The sequence below is a fragment of the Homo sapiens genome, chromosome 9 (genome assembly GCF_000001405.40).
Source record: "Homo sapiens chromosome 9, GRCh38.p14 Primary Assembly".
Lineage (NCBI taxonomy): Eukaryota > Metazoa > Chordata > Mammalia > Primates > Hominidae > Homo > Homo sapiens.
This window is the reverse complement of record NC_000009.12, coordinates 93,761,893-93,778,780: the sequence shown is the minus strand read 5'-3', so window position 1 is coordinate 93,778,780 and position 16,888 is coordinate 93,761,893. Positions and strand designations below refer to the sequence as shown.

At 39.4% G+C, this 16,888-nt stretch overlaps 2 annotated features.

Moving 5' to 3' along the window:
• Positions 207-376: an enhancer, noted in NCBI's record as "experimental_109914 CRE fragment used in MPRA reporter constructs". NCBI's record gives its function as "activates a minimal promoter by MPRAs in K562 erythroleukemia cells, with activity observed for both the introgressed and non-introgressed 9:96540772 variant alleles {active_cell/tissue: K562}" and the evidence as "EXISTENCE:reporter gene assay evidence [ECO:0000049][PMID:34662402]".
• Positions 8,365-8,534: an enhancer, noted in NCBI's record as "experimental_109906 CRE fragment used in MPRA reporter constructs". NCBI's record gives its function as "activates a minimal promoter by MPRAs in K562 erythroleukemia cells, with activity observed for the introgressed 9:96532614 variant allele {active_cell/tissue: K562}" and the evidence as "EXISTENCE:reporter gene assay evidence [ECO:0000049][PMID:34662402]".

Below are 16,888 nucleotides of genomic sequence, written 5' to 3'. Positions count from 1 at the left end.
CCAGCACTTTGGGAAGCCTAGGTGGGTGGATCACAGAGTCAGGAGTTCAAGACCAGCCTGACCAACATGTTGAAACCCCATCTCTACTAAAAATACAAAAATTAGCTGGGCGTGGTGGCGGGCACCTGTAATCCCAGCTACTCGGAAGGTTGAGGCAAGAGAATCGCTTGAACTCGGGAGGCAGACGTTGCAGTGAGCCGAGACCAAGTCACTGTACTCCAGCCTGGGTTACAGAGTGAGACTCCATCTCAAAAAAAAAAAAAATCCATTTCCAAAAGACAATATTTCCTATGAATTTTAGGAAAAAGACATTTACAAAGTGATATTTTACTACCTCTACATTTAACATAGGTCTGGCACTTCTAAATATCTAGATAGACAAGCTGTTTCAGATAAGGAGTGAATTTGTCCACTATGTACACAGCAGTCTGGAATAAACTGCACGCATGTAATCATAGTTATAATTTGAAAGAGTCTTTGAAATATGGGCATTCTGACCTAGGACCCTGCCTATCTCCATCAAGCATCCATTGTTGATGCTCCATGAACATCAACAATGATGCTCAGATTTTCAGAAGACAATCTTTCCTAGGAATTTTAAAACAAAATGTACAAAATATATTAGTTTATGAATTCTACTTTTGTTATACACTGGCAACCTCTTTAAGGTCTAGAAAGATGAGATGTAAGTTAGGACTCATTTGGCCTTTATACACACCATATACACACAGATAAGTAAAACAAAACACACAGACATGAGCACCGATGGCCCATCCCGCCTCACTGTGAGCACACGGGCACAGAGCTCTCCACACTTCCTCCTCTTCCCTCCTCCCCTGAACCAGGGCACAAACACAATGTGTGTTGCTCAACAGGTGGTTTGGCCATCCCATCCCCTCCCCAAAACAGTATTTCATATGAATTTTAACATAAACAAGTTTTACAAACTGTGTTATTTTACCACTTTTAATTTTAACATCTATCAGGCACTTCAGAACATCTAGAAACACTAAATATTTCAAAAAACAATACTTAGCAGTCTCAACTATATATACAGTAGTGAGGAACAAAATATTCACATAAAACAATGGTTCAAATATGAACATGGCCTCTCAATAGACCCAGTCTGGCCTAGAGCCTTCTTTTCCTCCTCAGGTCTTCCAGCCATCCCCTCTAACCCACAGAACAGAGGTGGACAGGTTGCTCCTGGTGTGGCTTCCAGAGGTGCTCCAGCGACCATTTCAAAGTCATCTCCAGAAGGCATTTATTTTCTATGATTTTTTTTAAACAAATGAGCATTTACAACACATGTGATTTTCTAACTCTTCTTTATCATATGTGGGCAACCTCCAGATGTAGCAAACGTTTTCTTTTAAACGCTTGGGGGAAAGTTGAGAGCAGATTTTTCATGTTATATACACAGGCCTTCTAGAAATGGCCAGCAAACCTTCCCAAAGGGTAGTGGCATTTCCAGTGTGCCAACTGAGGAATGTCCTTCTACCATCTCTCTCTGCAATATCAAGATCAGGTAGAAGGAAGGCTGATGGCCGGGTGGCCACTACTGGTTCCCTGCCATGGTCCGGAGCTTAAGGCCTTTGCCTGGCCAGGACTAAGCAGACCTCACTGAGTTAGGACAGAGGTCACCCCGGGACCTGGGGCTGGTGGTTCCAGGCCTAGAGAGACAGCTGAGTGTGCGTCCTACACCTGCCTTCCTGCCCCGCCACACCCGCTGCCACCCAAAGGCGCTGTGTCCTGGCGGCTTGTCGGGGTTTCTTCTAGGCTGGCGGGGTCCAGGCTGGGAGGGGCCTCTGCCACCCTCAGGGCACCAAGGCTAGGTGGGGAGAAAGATTCGCCACTTCTTCAAGGGCTGGGCCTGGCTGCTTTTCACCATGCTCTCTCTAAGTTTTCGTATAATTGAAATAACACAGTTTATAATGTTTTTCAGGCTAGCCTCTTCGACTTTGCAGTATGCATTCAAGAGTCATCCTTGTCTTTTCACAGCTTGACAGCTCACTTCTTTCTTCCTTTTTTTCATATTCCAGTGTGTGCATGTGCCAGTTGTTTATCCACTCATTTGTTAAAGGGCATCTTGATTGCTTTCAGCTTTGGGTTATTACAAATAAAGCTGCTATAACCATTCACATACAAGTTTTTGTGTAGATAGAAGTTTTTCTTTCATTTGGTTAAAACCTGGGAGTGTGATTGCTGGATCATATGGCAAGAGTATGTTTAGTTGTATAAGAAACTGCCAAATATCTGAAACAACTGTGCCATTTTGCACTTCCACCAGCAATGAAGGAGGGTCCCTGTGGCTCTGCATCCTCACCAGCAGTTGGTATTGGCAGGTTTTGTTTTTGCTTAGCCATTCTGGTACGTATGCAGTAGCATCTCATTGTTGCTTAAATTTGCAATTTTCTAATGACATATGTTGAGCATCTTGTCATATACTTATTTACCATCTGTATATCTTGTCTGGTGGGGTATCTGCTTAGATCTTTTGCCCATTTTTAAATTGGGTTGTTTGGTTTTTTATTATTGAGTTTTAAGAATTTTTTGTATGTTTTGGATACAAGTCTTTGATCAGATACGTGTTTTGCATATATTTCTCCAAGTCTATGCCCTGTTTTTTCTTTTCAGTCTGTTAACAGTGTCTTTCACAGAGTAGTGGTGGTTAATTTTAATAAAGTTCAATTTATCTGTTATTATGGAATGTGTTATTGGTATTCTACATAAAAATATCACCAAACTAAAGATTATGTAGATTTTCTCCTTTGTTTTCTTCAAGAAGTTATGTAGTTTTGCATTTTACTTGTAAGTCTATGATCTATTTTGAATTAATATTTGTATCAAGTCTGAGTGTCTAAATTCTTTTTATTCTTCCGTATGGATGACCAACTGTTCAGCAACATATATTGAAAGACTATGCTTTCTCCCTTGAATTGCCTTGTTCATTTGCCAGTGATCAGTTAACTATATTTGTGTGGGCCTATTGCTGGACTTTCTATTCTGTTTTTGTGTGTGTGTGTGTGTGACGGAGTCTCACTCTTTCACCCAGGCTGGAGTGCAGGGGTGCTATCTCGGCTCACTGCAAGCTCCGCCTCCTGGTTCACACCATTCTCCTGCCTCACCCTCCCGAGTAGCTGGGACTACAGGCGCCCGCCACTGCGCCTGGCTAATTTTTTGTATTTTTAGTAGAGACGGGGTTTCACCGTGTTAGCCAGGATGGTCTCCATCTCCTGACCTCGTGATCCACCTGCCTCGGCCTCCCAAAGTGCTGGGATTACAGGCGTGAACCACCGCGCCCTGCGACTTTCTATTCTGTTTCACTAATCTGTGTGTCCATTCTTTTACCAATGCTACATGGTATTAGTTTGCTAGGGCTTCCATAACAAAATAACACAGAGTAAGTGGTTTAAACAACAAAAACGTATTTTTTTGACAGTTCTGAAGTAAAAGATCAAGGTGCTGTTAGAGTTATATTTTTCTGAAAGCCTCTCTTCCTTGCTTGTAGATGGCCACCTTTCACTGTGTCCTCACGTGGCCTCTTCTCTGTGCATGTAGAAAGAGAGAAAGTGAGACCTCTGGTTGTTCTTCCTCTTCTTATAAGGACACAGGCCTGATCAGACTAGGGCTCCACCCTTAGGAACTCATCTCCTATTTGGAGATGGGGCCTTTACTTACCACTGTAAAGGCCCTATCTCCAGATATAGTCCACACTGGGGGTTAGGGCTTCAATATATTAATTTGGAGCGGGGAAATACAATGCAGTCCATAATATTCTGCCTTTTGGCTCCAAAATTCATGTCCTTCTCACATGCGAAATACAGTCACCTAATTCCAACAGCTCCCAAATTCTCAACACATTCTGACGTCATTCCAAGTTCAAAGTCTCGCCTAAAAATCTGCTCAATCAAGTGTGGGTGACACTTGAGGTACTCATCCTGGGGCAAAATTCCTCTCTGGCTTTGAGCCTGTGAAACCAGACAAGTGGTGTGCTTCCAAGATACAATAGCGGGCCATCCATAGGATATATATATTCCAAAAGGGAGAATTAGGAGAAAGAAAGAGGTGAGGGGTCCCAAGAAAGTCCAAAACCTAGCAAGGGTAATTCCATTAGCTCTTAAGCCTCCAGAATAATCCCCTTTGGCTGGATGCTCTGCCTCTGGGCTCACTGGCACAGCAGCATCACCCGAAAGGATGTCAGCCATGACCCTGCCCTCTTGGCTCTGTGTGCCCGCTCTGCCCCCATGGCTCTTTGCCAGTCCTGCCACCGAGGCACTGGTGGGACAGCCTGGCCTGCTGCAGCTGAGGAAAGGACCCTCACCCTCTGAAACCAAGTAGGAAGCAGTCTTGCTCCCTGGGCCTGTGGTAAGAGTGGCAGTCCAGATGGCCTATGAATCACCTTCAGGGCCATTCTTCCTTTGTCTTAAGGGATAAAGCATGTTCACAGCCAAACAGCTTTGTCATCCCATCCTGTTCAGTCCCAGAATTCTGAAGGCTTTCCTTCATTTCATCCTGTCTCTGTTCCCCTTGGTCCAAGATGGCAGTGTCTGTGCTGGAATAATCTCATCTCTACTCCTGGCTTCTGCTGAGATGGTTGGTTAACTCCATGGGCAATCTCCTTATGAAAGGATTATCCAGCCACACCTCTAGTGTTGTCTTCAGAAAAAGGTTTTCATTTTTTGCAATATGGATAGGCTGAGAAGTTTTAAAAAAAATTTTAAGTTCTACTTCCATTTTGCTTAATGCTTCTCTCACTTTATCTCTGTCCTCTCACATTTTACTATAAGAAGTAAGGAGACGCCAGGCTGTACCATCAACTTCGCTTAGAAATCTCCTCAGCTAAATATCCAGTTTCATCATTTGCATGTTCTACCTTCCACAAAACACTAAAACTGTCCCTGTGAACATTATAAAATTAATCAGGAAAGAAAGGAGGGGGAGAAATGAGAACAAATTAAGCTTGTGGCACATCCAACATTAGTCATTAGGTCACCCTGCTCTCTGGGCCACTTCTGCATAGTTGTTTGGTGCCTGTTGCCTCAGAATCACATAGATCCTGTCACAGAATAATAGATGCCCGTAAGTGCTCCATAGCTAATAACTTGAACATTGTGAAACATTACATTTTCCATGTGAAGTACTCTTTCTGGTCCTGCATACTAGTGAAACTACAGATGTCAACTGGTCTGAACAACCCTGCAGGAGCTGACTCACTAAAGAATGCTGTTTCCTGCAACCCATCAAAAAACCCAATTTCTAGCCCCTTGCCCTCCATGATCCCCTTTAAAATCCCAGCCCAGAACTCCTCACAGAAATGGATTTGAGGATGTCTTCCCATCTCCTTGTCCTGAAAGCATTCAACTCCTTCTCTACCGTGAACCCTGCTGTCTTCATTTATTGGTCTGTTACTGCACAGTGGGCATATGAACCTGGTGGTCCTATAATAACACTAGAACATGATTCAGTTAAGTTCCTTGTCATTTGATAACAAGGGTTGGCTTTCTTCCAGTTTCAATAGTATGTTCCTCATTCCATCTGTAATATCACCAGAAGCACATTTAATGTCCATATTTCTACCAGTAGACCCTTCAAGACAATCTAGGCTTTTTTTCTGGCATGCACTTCAAAACTCTTTCATCCTCTACCAAGTTCCAAAGTCACTTTACATTTTTTAGTATTTGTTACGGCAACACTCCACTTCTTGATATCAAAATCTGTATTAGTCTCCTTGGGCTGCCATCACAAAATGTCACAGACTGAGCAGCTTAAACAACAGATGCTTATTTCCTCACAATTCTGGAGGCTAGGAAGTTCATGATCAAGGTAACAAGAAATTTAGTTTCTGGGAGGGTTCTTTCTGCTACTACAAATAGAGTCACTAGCATTTTAAATGTATTCAGATTAGAAAGCCTATTCTAGAAACCCCAGAACAAATTCAGGAAAACTCATCCTTAAAATTCTGCCCCACTTAGAACCACTTTCAGCACCAAAATCTGTATTAGTCAGGGTTCTTCAGAAAAACAGAACCAATAGGAGATAGGCATATAAAAAGAGCTTTCTAATAAGGAGTTGGTTCATGAGATTATGAGGGCAGGTAAATCCTAAAATCTGAAGTCCCAAGATCTGGGTCACACTGCAAGCTGGAGACCCAACAGAGCCTATGGCTTTGTTCCTGTCTGAGTCCCAAACCCTGAGCTCAAATGCCTGAGAACTAAGAGAGCTGATGGTGTAGTTCCTGTCCAGAGGCTCTCAGGCTTGAGACTTGGAAAGAGCCAATGTTTCAGAATAAGTACAAAGGCAGGAAAAATCTGATGTCTCAGTCAAAGGCAGGCAGGCAGAAAGAATTCTGTTTTACTTGGGGGAGGCTCAGCCTTTTTGTTCTATTCAGGCCTTCAACTGATTGGATGAGGCCCAGCCACACTAGGGAAGGCAATCTGCTTTACTCTGTCTACTAATTTAAATGTTAATCTCATCCAAAAACACCCTCACAGAAACACTCAGAATATTTGACCAAATATCTGAACACTCCATTATCCAGTCAAGTTGACACATAATTTAAACCATTACACATGATTTTTTATTACTATAGCCTCATAGTAAGTCCTGAAATAAAGTAATGTGAATCCCAGTCTTAGGTGGAAAGCATCCAGTTTCTTACCATTAAGCATGATGTTGGCTGTCAGTTTTTTGCATATATTCTTTATCTAATTGAGAGAGTTCCCCTCTATTCCTAGTTGGCTGAGAAGTTTTTCTTTTTAATATCATCAATGGGTATTGGTTTTGTCAAATGCTTTTTCTGCATCAATAATATAAACACGATTTTTCTTTTTTAGTTTGTTGATATAGTGGGTCATATTGATTGATTGATTGATTTTAATCTCAATGTTTATTTTAGATTCACAGCATACATGTGACGGTTTGAGGTATGAATGATCCCATCACCCAAGCAGGGAGCTTAGTACCCAACAGTTAGGTTTTCAACCCTTGACTTCTTCTCTTCCTCCCCACTCTAACAGTGTCCAGTGTCTATTGTTGCCATCTTTATGTCCATGAGTACCCAATGTTTAGCTCTCACTTATAAGTGAGAACACATGGTATTTGGTTTTCTGTTCTTGTGTGTGTTTTTTTTTTTAAGTTGAACCAGCCTTGCATTTCTGGAACAAATCCCACTTGGTCACTTTTTATACATTGTTAGATTTGATTTGCTAATATGTTGTTAAGAATGTTTGCATCTAAATTTATGAAAGATATTGGTCTGTCGTTTTTCTTTCTTGTAATGTCTTTGTCTTGTTTTAGTATTAGGGTAAATGCTGACCTTGTAGAATTAGTTAGGAAGTATTTTGTCCTCATATATTTTTTTGAAGAATTATATAGAATTGGTATAATTTCTTCATTAATTGTTTGGTAGAATTCACCAGTGAACCCATCTGCACCTGATGCTTTCTGTTTTGGAAGGTTATCAATTCTTCACTCAATTCAGATTGTCTATTTCTTCTTGCATGAGTTTTGGCAGATTGTGTCTTTTAAGACATTGGCCCATTTCACCTAGGTTATCAAATTTGTGGGCAAAGAATTGTTCTTCGTATTTCTTTATTATGCTCTTAAAATTTGTGGGATCAGTAGTGATGGCCCCTCTTTTATTTCTAATATTGCTAATTTGAGTCTTCTCTGTTTTTTTCTTGATTAGCTTGGTTAAAGATTTATCAATATTATTTTTATTTTCAAAGAGCCAGTGAAGCTTTCAGTTTCATTGATTTCTCTATCGTTTTCCTATTTTCAGTTTTATTTATTTCTCCTCTAATTTTTATCATTTCTTTTCTTCATTTGTTCTAGGTTTCGGTTATTTTTATTTCTTTATTTTACTAAGGTAGAAGTTTAGGTTACTTATTTTAGAGCCTCCTTTTTTAATAACTGATTTAATACTGTAAATTTCCCTTTTGCTGCATCTCAGACATTTTTATTTTTATTAGTTCAAAATATTTTAAAATTTTCTTGAGACTTTTTTGGACCCATATGTAATTTGGAAATTTGTCATTTAATTTCCAAATATTGGGGATTTTTTTTATCAATCTCTCCATTATTGACATATGTTTTACTTCTATTGAGGTCCCAGAACATACTTCATGTGATTTCTATCTTTTAAACTTTTTAAGCTATATTTTGTGGCTCAGAGTGTGGTTTAATTTGATTAGTGTTATATGTAAGATTGAGAAGGATATGCATTATGCCATTGTTGGATAGAGCATTCTATAAATGCCAGTTATATCCACTTGTTTAATAATACTGTTCAGATCAAGTACATGCTTATTGTTTCTGCCTTTTTGATCCAGTGTTGAAGACTCCACTATGTAGTGGATTTGTCTATTTCTCCTTGCAGTTCTATAAGTTTTTGCCTCATGTATTTTAATTATCTGATGTTATGTGCATACATGTTTAGGATAGTTATGTTTTCTTGGATAATTAACTTCATCATTATTTAGTATTTCTTTATCCCTAATAATTTTTCTTGCTGTGAGGTCTTCTATACCTGAAATAAACATAGCTATTTCATGTTTTAAAAATTAATGTTAGCATGGTATATCTTTCTCCATCACTTTACTTTTAATTTATGAGAATCATTATTATTAAAGTGTGTTCCTTGTATACCATATATAATTGGGTCTTGTATTTTATCCACTCTGACAATCTGTTTTTCACTGGTGTACCTATGCCCTTCACATTTAAAGTGATTATGGATATATTTGGATTAATATCAACCATGTTTATAACTGTTTTCATTCTTACTAGAGGCTCCTTTTCAGCCTTTTCTTGTTCTAATTGAGTATTTTATGATTCCACTCTACTTTCTCTCTTGGTGTACCCATTGTACTTCCTTTTAAAGTTTTTAGTGCTTGTCCTAGAGGTTGTAATATACATTTTTAACTAATTTAAGTCTACCTTCAAACAACACTCTTCTGTTTCACATTTAATGCAGGTACCTTATAACAGAGTATTCTTAATTACTACTTCCCATCTCTTGTGACACTGCTGCCATTGATTTCACTTATCCATAAGTTATAATCACTCAGTACATTTTTACTAAAATAATGATGCTTTAAACAAAATAATAATACTTTTAAAAGACAGTTGCATTTTGGATTAATGAAGAATAGAAAAAGATTTTTATTTTACCTTTATTCCTTCTCTGACTCTCTCTCTCATTATTTATGTAGATCCAAGTTTCTACATCTACACACACACACACACACACACACACACGAAAAGATTTCTACAAAAATGAAAATACTTTAATAAAGTCAAGATAGTCACGTAGTTAGTATCAGCTAAGTGTTCATCACCTCCGCTTGCCAAATATAACTCTATCACTTTTAGAAAACAAACCCAACTCCTGACCCAAACATTTCACTGGTTGTCTGATTTCTGCATTACTTTTTAAAAATCGACTTTATTTTTTAGAGAAGTTTTATGTTTACAGAAAAATTGAACATACAGTACAGAGAGTTCTCCTTTGCCCCGCTTGCCCCAACACACACAGGTCCCTCTATTGCAGGCATATCTTGTTTCATTGTGCTTAACTTTATTGTATTTGCAGTTATTGTGTTTTTTACAAATTGAAGGTTTGTGGCAATCCTGTGCTGAGGAAGTCTATCAGCTCCATTTTTCCACCAGCATCTTTTCACTTAGTGTCTCTGTGTTGCATTTTGGAAATTCTCACAATATTTTAACATTTTCATTATTATTATATCTGTTGTGGTGATCAGCGATCTTTAATGTACTATTATAATTGTTTTGGGGCACCATGAACCACATCCATGTGAGCTTATTCTATAAATATGTGTGCGTACTGACTCCTCCACTGACTGGCCATTTCCCCATCTCTCTTCCTTTCCCCAGACCTGTCTAGTCCCTGAAACACAACAATGTTGAAGTTAGGCCAATTAATAATCCTACAATGGCCTCTATGTGAGTGAAAGGTAGAGTTGCACATCTCTCACCTTAAATTAAAAGCTAGAAATCATTAAGCTTAGTGAGGAAGGCATGTTGAAAGCCAAGGCAGGCTGAAAGCTAGGCCTCTTGTACCAAACAGCCAAGTTGTGAATGCAAAGGAAAAATTCTTGAAGGAAATTAAAAGTGCTACTCCAGTGAATGCATAATAAGAAAGTGAACTATCTTTATTGCTGATATAGAGAAAGGTGTAGCAGTCTGGATAGAAGATCAAACCACTTACATTCCCTAAAGCCAAAGCCTAATCCAGAGAAAGGCCTTAACTCTCTTCAAGTCTCTGAAGGCTGAGAGAGGTGAGGAAGCTGCAGAAGGAAAGTTTGAGGCCAGCAGTGGTTGGTTCATGAGGCTTAAGAGGCCATATTCATAAGTTAAAAGTGCAAGGTGGGCCGAGCGCGATGGCTTACACCTGTAATCCCAGCACTTTGGGAGGCTGAGGCAGGCAGATCACAAGGTCAGGAGTTCAAGACCAGCCTGGCCAACATGGTGAAACCTCATCTCTACTAAAAATACAAAAATTAGCTGGGTGTGGTGGTCCGTGCCTGTAATCCCAGCTACTCAGGAGGCTGAGGCAGGAGAATCACTTGAACCTGGGAGGTGGAGGTTGCAGTGAGCCAAGATGGTGCAATTGCACTCTAGCCTGGGCAATAGAGTGAGACTCCATCTCAGAAAAAAAAAACAAAAAACAAAAAATAAAAGCGCAAGGTGAAGGAGCAAGTGATAATGTAGACGCTGTAGCAAGTTATCCAGAAATCTAGCTAGTTAATGAAGGTGGTGACACTAAAAGATAGATTTTCAATGTAGATGAAATAGCCTTATCTTGGAAGAAGAAGCCATCTAGGACTTTTACCACTAGAGAAGAAAAGTCAATGGCTGGCTTCAAAGCTTCAAAGGACAGGCTGACTCTCTCGTTAGGGGCTAATGCAGCTGGTGACTTTAAATTGAAGCCAATGCTCTTTTTCCATTCTGAAAACCCTAGAGCTTTTAAGAATTATGCAAAATCAACTCTACCTGTGCCCTACACATGGAAAAACAAAACCTGAATGACAGCATATCTAGTTACATCATGGTTTACTAAATATTTTAAGCCTACTGTTCAGAAAAAAAAAGATTCATTTCAAAACATTACTGCTCATTGACAATGCAGCTGGTCACCCAAGAGTTCTGATGGAGATATACAAGGAGATGAACATGCTTTTATGCCCATGGATCAAGGAGTCATTTCAACTTTCAAGTCTTATTATTTACAAAATGCATTTTAAAAGGCTATAGCTGTCTAAGATAATATTTCATCTACTGGCTCTAGGCAAAGTAAATTGAAAATCTTCTGGAAAGGATTCACAAATTTAGATGCCATTAAGAACATTTGTAATTCATGGGAGGAGGTAAAAATATCAACATTACCAGGAGTTTGGAAAAAGTTGATTCCGACCCTCAAGGATGACTTGAAGAGATTCAAGACTTCCATGGAGGAAATCACTGCAGATGTCGTGGAAACAGCAAGAGAACCAGAATTAGAAGTGGAACCTAAAGATGTGACTAAATTGCTGCAATCTCTTGATAAAATTTGAATGGATGACAAGATGCATCTTATGGATGAGCAAAGAAAGTGGTTTCTTGAAATGGGGTCTACTTCTGATAAAGATGCCATGAACATTGTTAAAATGACAACAAGGTATTTAGAATATTACATAAGCTTAATTTATAAAGCAGTGCCAGAATTTGAAAGGATTAATTACAATTTTGAAAGAAGTTCTACTTTGGCCAAATGCTATCAAACAGCATATTATACTATAGACAAATCTCATGAAAAGAAGAGTCAGTTGATGTGGCAAACTTCATTGTTGTCCTATTTTTATAAACTGCTACAGTCACCCCAACCTTTAGCAACCACCACCCTGATCAGTCAGCAGCCATCAACACTGAAGCAAGAACCTCCACCAGCAAAAGGATTATAACTCACTGCAGGCTCAAATGAGGGTATTTTTTGGTAATAAAATATTTTTAAATCAAGGTATGTATATTTTTGACATAATGTTATTGCATACTTAATAGACTACAATATAAAATAAACATAACTTTTATGTGCACTTAGAGACCAAAAAATTCACGTGACTCACTTTATTGTGATAGTCACACTGTTGCACTGGTCTGAAGCAGAACTGGCAATATCTCCAAGTTATGCTTGTTATTAACATCTTGCATTGGCCAGTACATTTGTTACAAGTAATGAACCAATCTTGATTCATTATTATTAATCCTCTGTGCTCTGCATATTCATCCTTCTTCTGCTGAACCCCTGCCAATCACTGTTCTTTCTACTATCTTCATGATTTTGCCTTTGCCAGAATGTCCTACAGTTGCACTCATATAATATGTAGACTTATTAGACTGGCTTCTTTCACTTAGCAATATGCATTTAAGGATCCTCCATGTCTTTTTGTGACTTGATAGCTCATTTCTTTTTAGCACTGAATAATATTCCATTGTCCAGATGTACCACAATTTATTTATCCATTCACCCATGGAAGCACTTTTTGTTTGCTGCTTCTCTTTCAGTTTTGAAGAATGATTTTGGTGGATACAGAATTCTAGGTTGGTGAAGTTTTTTTTTCTTTCAAAACTAAATATTATTTCCCTTCTTATTTGTATGGTTTCTAATGAGAAGTCTGATGTAATTCTTATCTTTGTTCTCGTCTATAGAAAGGGTAATTTTCTCACCTCTAGCTTCTTTCAGAATTTTCTCTTTGTCTTTGATTTTTTGCAATTTGAATACATAAATATGCCTAGGTGTAGTTTCTTTGGTATTTATGCTGCTCATTGTTCTCTTAGCCCTCTGAATGTGTCATTTGTTGTCTGTCTTTAACTTATAAAGTTCTTGGCCATTATTACTTCAAATATATTTTTATGCCCTGTTTTCCTTTCTCCTGGTGTTCCAATTATACATATGTTATACCTTCTGAAATTATCCCAAAGATTTTTTTTTTCATTTCAGTTGGGGTAGTGTCTATTCACTTATCTTGAAACCCATTAATTCTTTCCTTGGTTGTGTCCAGTGTAATGGCCAGGCCATTAAGGGCATTCTTCATTTCTGTTACAGTGTTTTTATTAATAGTATTTCATTTTGGTTCTTTCTTGTACCTCTCTGCTTATCCACCTATTCCTGCATGTTTTTCACTTCTTCCACAGGAGTGCCTGTGACCTGGTAGTAGATTGGGATCTGCCTCAGTAGCAGCAGGCAGGCGTGAGGTTGTGGTGCTGATACTTCCTCTTGCTCAAAGGGGAGCCTTTGGCCTGGTTTGCCATGTGAATCTGGACAAAATGCTGCCTGTCCTGTGCCTCAGCATTTTCCAGAGATAACCATGGGGCAGTAAGGGGATAGGGAACCAACATTTCTAATGGCCTCTCTAACTCTAACTTGCTGAGAGTTAGTTCTCTTAGTCCAAAGCAGTATGACCTGGTGCTATGGTCTCAATGTTTGTTTTCTCCTCAAAACTCATCTGTTGAAATCCTAACCCCCAACGCAATACTGTAAGAGGTAAGATCTTCGAGAGGTGATTAGGTCATGAGGGTGGAGCCATTATGAATAGTATTAGTGCTGGCATAAAAGAGGTCCCAGGACCTCCCTCTTCCCCGCCACCAGGTAAGGACAAAGAGAGAAGATGCCATCTATGAACCAGTAGACGAGCCCTCACCAGATATTAAACTTGCCAGCATATTAGTCTTGGACTTTCCAGCCTCTAGAATTGTGAACAGTAAATTTCTATTGCTTATAAACCACCCAGTTTATGATATTTTGCTATAGCAGCCCAAACACACTAAGACACCTGGGATATCTTTGAGCTTCAGTTTCTTCTTCTTCAAATCAGTTATGATAGTCCCCCACCCATGTTATTCCTTCCATCCTTCATTCATTTAGCAAATATTTATTCAACACCCAAAGCCAGCCCTGTGCTGCACGCTGTGGATATGGTGGAACTAAAGCAGACCAAGCCCTTGTTGAGTTAATGCCTCAGCACAGAAGACCACAGTTAGCACAGTGTAAAGTAAACTTTATATCTGTCAGAGGTCTAGGAGCTCAGGAGAGGAAGACAGGAGTAGTGAGGGCTGGCATGGAGCCTGGCAGTTTCAGTCAGGTGACCTCAGGTAGGCCTCAGTGAGAGGAAGCATTTGAACCGTCTTGTGGCCAGTGAGGGAGAAATCCACAAGGATGAACAGAGGGGACAGCAAGGGCAAAGGGCAGAAGGGGGGCAGGCATGAGACTGAGAAGTGAAGAAGGCCCATGGTGGAGGCGGTGGAGGAAGGAGATGAGTCAGGGCCATGGACGTTCAGGTGAGGTCCCTGGAAGCTGCCAGAAGGCTGCGAGCAGAGGAGGGTGGGGCCTGACTGTGGAGGTACAAATGGGAAAGGGAGGCCTCAAGGGGGAAGTGTGACAGTCCAAGAGGGACTGTGGGGGCTCAGCCCCATGGCCAAGAAGTGCATGCAAGAAGGGGGCAGACTGTAGGTGTATCTGAAGGCAGAGGCTTCAGAGTTAGCTGGTGGATTGCAAAAGGGTGAATCAAGGAGACTTCTGAGCTCTGGGGGACAGAAATGTTTTGAGGATGAAATGCAAGACGGCATCTAACTGCAACCAAGTTACAATTGATGGGCCAAAACTGATCTGTTTTTGTTAATTAATGTCCACAGTATATATTAGTGTTCACCCTTAGTGTTGTGCATTCTATAGGTTTTGTGTAATGTGTAAGTGCTTGGTCTGCTTTAGTTCCACCATATCCACAGCGTGCAGCACAGGGCTGGCTTTGGGTGTTGAATAAATATTTGCTAAATGAATGAAGGATGGAAGGAATAACATGGGTGGGGGACAATCATACCTGATTCGAAGAAGAAGAAACTGAAGCTCAAAGATATCCCAGGTGTCTTAGTGTGTTTGGGCTCCTATAGCAGCCCAATGTGTAATGACTTATGTTCACCATTGTAGTATCATACAGAATAGTTTCACAGCCATAAAATCCCCTGTGCTCCACCTATTCACTGCTTGCTCCCCCTTAATGCCCTGGCAATCACTGACCTTTTTACTGTCTTCATGGTTTTGCCTTCTCCAGAGTGTCCTACAGTGGGCATCATACAGTATGTAGGCTTTTCAGAGCAGCTTCTTTCACTTAATAATATGCATTTAAGCTTCCTCCATGTCTTTTCATAGCTAGATGACTCATTTCTTTTCCGTGCAGAGTAATATCATTTTCTCCCATTCCATGGCTTGTCTTTGGATATCAGAGTGGATAAACATGTTTATCCATTCACCTACTGAAGGGCATCTAGGTTGCTTCCAAGTTTTGGCATTCATGAATAAAGCTGCTGTAAATAACCATGTGCACGTTTTTCTGTGTAGACATGTTTTCAGCTCTTTTGGGTAGATACCAAGGAACAAAATTGCTGGATTGTATGGTAAGAGTATGTTTAGTTTTGTAAGAAACTGCCAAACTGTCTTCCAAAGTGGTAGTACCATTTTGCATTTCCACCAGCAATAAATGAGAGTTTCTATTGCTCCACATCCTCACCAGCATTTGCTGTCCCTGTTCTGGATTTTGGCCATTCTAATAGATATATAGTGGTATCTCATTATTGTTTTAATTTGTAATTCCCTAATGACAATGATATGGAGCATCTTTTCATAAGCTTATCTGCCATCTGTAAATTCTGTTTGGTGAAGTGTCTCTTAAAGTCTTTGGCTCAGTTTTTTAAATTGGGTTCTTGTTTTTTTTTAATTGGGTTTTAAAAGGTGTTTTTTTTTCATGTTTTGGTTAACAGTTCTTTATCAGATATGTCTTTTGCAAGTATTTGCTGCCAGTCTGTGGCTTGTCTTCTCATTTTCTTCACATTGTCCTTCATAAAGCAGAAATTTTTAATTTTAACAAAGTCCAGCTTATCAATTATTTATTTCATGAACCATGCCTTTGATTTTGTATCTAAAATGTCACTACCATACCCAAGGTTATTTCAGTTTTTTCATATGTTGTTTTCTAGAAATTCTATTTTTTTTTTTTTTTTTTTTTGAGACCAAGTCTCTGTCTGTCACCCAGGCTGGAGTCCAGTGGCATGATCTCGGTTCACTGCAACCTCTGCCTTGCAGGTTCAAGGGATTCTCCTGCCTCAGCCTCCCAAGTAGCTGGAACTACAGGTACGTGCCACCACGCCCAGCTATTTTTTGTATTTTTAGTAAAGACGGGATTTCAGCACGTTGGCCAGGCTGGTTTTGAACTCCTGACATCAGGTGATCCACTGGCCTTTGCCTCCAAAAGTGCTGGGATTACAGGCATGGGCCAAAGCACCCAGCTTCTAGCACTTCTATACTTTTGCATTTTATCTTTAAGTCTATGATCTATTTTGAGTTAATTTTATGAAGGGTGTAAGGTCTACGTCTAGATTCATTATTTTGCCCATTTATCTTTTTATGAGTGCAATCTATTTTCCTTTAGATAAATGAGAGCTACATAGGTAGATACATACATTTACACATAGAGAGAAATATGGCTAGATGATAGACAATAGATAAATAAATAGATGATGGAGAGATGACAGAGATACATACATATATATGTATGCACATATACATGAATATGTGTTTATATATAGGTATGTATGTATGATTCCGTTTATATCATGTTTAAGAACAGACAACTGTTATCAATGATAATAGAAGGCAGAATATTGGTCACCTCTCTGCGGAAGGATATTGACTCAGAAGAGGCACAAGGGAGCTTTCCAGGGTGCTGGAACTATTCGATGCCCTAGTTCATGGGTGTACAAGAAGTACAAATTAATCAAGTTGTGCACTTTTATATATACATATGTCTCTCAATTTTTTAAATGTTAAGCTATGTTC